This window comes from Homo sapiens, chromosome 14 (assembly GCF_000001405.40).
Source record: "Homo sapiens chromosome 14, GRCh38.p14 Primary Assembly".
NCBI lineage: Eukaryota > Metazoa > Chordata > Mammalia > Primates > Hominidae > Homo > Homo sapiens.
Genome location: NC_000014.9, coordinates 104,374,837 through 104,378,944, shown reverse-complemented (window position 1 = coordinate 104,378,944; position 4,108 = coordinate 104,374,837). Strand labels below are relative to the sequence as shown.

Here is a 4,108-nt window from a genome sequence, read left to right as displayed (position 1 = left end):
CAGAACTCAGAGCACATGGAGCCCCAGAGAAGAGCGGAAAATCCAGCGTGCTTCACAAGCACTGGTAAGCCCCCGCACCCTCCCCCTCTGACTACACAGGTTTTCCAAGAGGTGATCATGTGAGACTAACATCATTGTCTTTCCTTGTCATGGTCCTTAGACTGGCAGACAAGGGACGTGTGATTGTGATTTCAGCAGGCATTTGCAAGGTCTGCTGTGTTATCCTTGAGGATGAAATGGGAAATCCATCCCAGATGATCTGTTAGGTGGAATGTGTCTGTTATATACAATTATAGACAAAGGGAGTTAGCTAATGACCTGGTGTCACCCTGGAGGGGGGTCTCCAGCATCCCCCAGGACTCTGACATCAGTCCTGTATTGTCTGATATTCTGATCAATGATTTCTATGAGGAAATAAAAGCCCTGCCTGACGAGTTGCTGCTGAAACAAAGGACAGAAAGTACATCACAAGTCAGAAGCATAGTTCAGAATCATCCCAGTGTTGAGAGGATTTAGAATTCTAAACATTTTTAAATGGGACACAAACAGCATTATCCATAAAGAAAAAAATCGATCAATTAACTGGACCACATTAAAATTAAGAACTTCTGTTCATCAGAGATATTGTTAAGAGAAGGAAAAGACAACTAAGAGATGTCATTTGTGATACATATCTCTGACAAAAATCTCATATCTAGATTTTAAAAAGCCCAACACATCAATCCTTTAAAAACTGGAGCAAGACAAATAGATAGAAAAATAGGCAAAATATTTGAACTGACATCTCGCACAGTAAGATATCCAAATGCCCACTAAATGTATGAACAATAAAATGCTAAGTTTCCTTAGTTAGCAGGAAGATGTGAGCTATAATGACGATGGGACACCCCCTCTAAAATGAATGGCCAAAAGGGAAGAGAGAAAATGTCCCGTGCAAGGAGGACATGAGGTGTGTGTTTGGGGCACATGCCCTGTGGAACTGCTTGGCAGCATTTGTTACACTGAACCTGCATATGTACGATTGCCCTGCTTTTCCCCCCTTAGATAGAGACCCAATGGAAGTGCATATGCATTTTTGCCAAAAGACACACGTAAAAGGTGTTTATAACTGCTTCCAATTCCAGAAACCAGAAATAACCAAAGTGTCCACGGATGGGCGGCTGGATACAAAGCCGGCGTGTAGTCATAAAGGGATGCAGCGAACGACGAATGTGAATAAACATTTGCTGTATGAACAGGATGACTGACGCTCACAGCTCAACGTGGAGTGAAGGAAGCCAGACCTGGGGAAGCCCCCGCTGTATGGTCCATCTGACGGAAGTCAAAAGCGGGAGAAAACTTGTCTGCAGTGTAGGAAGTTGAAACAGCGGATGCCTCTGAGGTTGGGGTATGGGGGCTTTGGGGGTGAGAAACATTCTATTTCTTGATCCGGGTTCTGGAAACAAGTGTACTGTCTTCTGGGCAAAGCCTGGGCTGGGGGTGTGCAGGGCACGGTGGTGGAGGGACGAGGGGACACAGGGGCCTGCGGGGCAGGTTGGAGATGGAGGCAGGTTGGGGTAGGGGTGATCAAACAGCATATACTGTAAAGGCCCCAGGCAGGGAGGGGCCTCCACAGCCCTAAGACGAGGCTGGAAGAGAGGAGGAAGGTGGCGAGAGAGAATCTCCAACTGGCAAAGGCAAGGCCCAAGGGCCCCTGTGGGTGCTGGTCAACATGCAGGTGGCCGCCAGCCTCCCAGCCCATCCTGACAGCCCCTGCGGGCTCCTATGTCCCTGCACAATTGCCAAAAGCACCTCAGTCACTCCCCAAGGGCCAAGCTCAGACAATGTGTGGGGTGGTTTCTATATCCAGAGGGGCTGAGAGTGTCCCAAGCCCCTTTCTTTGGGCTCGGTGTCACACCCATCTGCTGGGGTCCCCACAGCAGCCCAGGAGAGGCCTGTCCCGATCCTAATGAAAAGGATGAGAAAGCTCAGGGTCAGAGAGGAAAGTGCGGAGCCCTCATCCGCTGCCTCGGGGAGAACAGTGGCTGCCCTCGGGACCGCCCCGGGTCACTGGGCCTGAGACCGCAGGGAAGAGACAAGTCTGGGGGTGGTGACCTCCCGGTAGCCTCACGGGTAAGAGAAATGGGGCTGTTTGGGACAGAGACCACAGGGGACAGAGGGTCATACCTGTCAGAGGGAAGCCGCTAGGGGTGAGAAGGGCGGTGGGGAGAGGCACAGTGCAGAGGAGGGCATGCCTTTTACTTACCAGGGCAAAGGGAAATCTGACCTCCACGAGGGTGGATAAAGCTCTGCCAAGCTCGCCAACTGAAGCCAAGAAAAAACGCTAAGGAAGGAAGCACCTCGAAACACAGCGGCTGGAGAGGCAGCGGGAGCCTCCTGGGCCGGTGCTCCACGGGGTGCCAGAGCTGGGTGACTCCCTGCCTGGTGGAACTTACACCCCTACGGGGGCCCTGACCTCCAAGCTACAGGCAAACCAGTTCCCATGGCACTCACCATGGCAAGAGTAAAATCACGAGAGCCAGAGGGTTGGGGGTCCTTCGAGTCCAGGTGGCCGGGAGTAGCCTCGCTGGGGAGGAGGCACTGAGGCCGGTTCCAAAGGACCAGAGGAGCCCCAGATGGGTGCAGCAGCCAGCCTGTGAGGGCTGCCCGGAGGGCCTGCACTTCACGTCCAGGGAGGCCAGTGGCCAGCAGAGGATGTGGTAGGTGTGAGGCGGGAGGCAGGGCAGCTCCCTGAAGGCACACGGAGGATGGCCGCCGCAGAGAAGGATGCGGTCAGAGTGGAAGGGAGCAGCCCCAACTCAGCCAGTACAGTGGATGGTGAGGAGGGTTCAGGCCGAGGCCCCAAAGCCCCATCCTGCAGGCACAGGACAGGACCAGGCCGACAGCTCAGAGAGAATGGGACCCCACGCAGCTGCCAGGATGCCAGGCGCTAAATCACAGCGACCTCTTGCCAGCCATGCAAATAATCCAATTACGTCGGGATAATTTATTGATCAGGAAAATCAAAAGAAGGTAATTAACACAAATGAAGCAAGTCCTGGGCATCTATACGGGCTGTGCATCTGCTGTCCCCAGGATCCCGCCTGCTCTGACCCCTGGGCCTAGCCTGAGCCAGCCCCGTCTGCTGTCCACTAGAGCCCAGGTCCCATTCCCCCATTTTGTCCTGCACTGTCCACGGCTCTGGCCCAGCCCTGCCAATAGGATGACACCTCCCATGTACGCCAAGGCACCCCAGCATCACGCTGGCCCTCTCAGGGCACCCCACGCAGCCGACAGCCGCATCTTCCCCTCTACTCCTAGGACACTCCAACGTAACTCTTGGGACAGTCACCATAGTGGCCTCCAACCTCCTTCACCACTGCCGCTCAGCAACTCTTCCAGCACCCCATCTCCCCATCCCGTAAGGGGCTCCTCCTGCACCCTGTCTCCCCGTCCTATAAGGGGCTCCTCCCGCACCCATCTCCCCGTCCTGTAAGGGGCTCCTCCCGCACCCTGTCTCCCCGTCCTATAAGGGGCTCCTCCCGCACCCATCTCCCCGTCCTGTAAGGGGCTCCTCCCGCACCCTGTCTCCCCGTCCTATAAGGGGCTCCTCCCGCACCCATCTCCCCGTCCTGTAAGGGGCTCCTCCCGCACCCCGTCTCCCCATCCCATAAGGGACTCCTCCCGCACCCCATCTTCCCGTCCAGTAAGGGGCTCCTCCCGCACCCCGTCTCCCCCTCCTATAAGGGGCTTCTCCTGCTCCCCATCTTCCCCTGCACCCTGTCTTCCCATCCTGTAAAGGGTCCCCTGGGCTCCTCCACATCCCATCTCCCTATCCCATAAGGGAGCTCCCCCAGACTCCTCCTGTACCCCGCTCCCCCTGCACCATAAGGAGGCTCCCCACTTCTCCCTCATGCTTCCACCCTCACCCCATTGAGCTCCTCTAGGTCTGGGGGCGGCTGGTGCAGACAGCCCCACTGGGTGCTCCCAGGCAGTGTGCAGACCAGGTGTGGCCCCTGGCCTGAGGTCACACAGCTGCTGGGGGAGAAAGGCCTCTTCACCCCTCCTGGGGTTGCACAAGCCTCTCAAACTCAGCCTGGCCAGCACAGCCCCAGGGCCGGCTTCATGG

General features: G+C 55.8%; 1 long non-coding RNA gene across 1 annotated transcript; it reads left to right on the top strand.

Moving 5' to 3' along the window:
* On the top strand, positions 1-1,235 carry LOC124903394 (uncharacterized). The gene is made up of 2 exons (XR_007064360.1): positions 1-64; positions 1,125-1,235. It is a non-coding gene; the product is annotated as an uncharacterized LOC124903394 (long non-coding RNA).
* Positions 1,236-4,108: the final 2,873 nt, after the last annotated feature.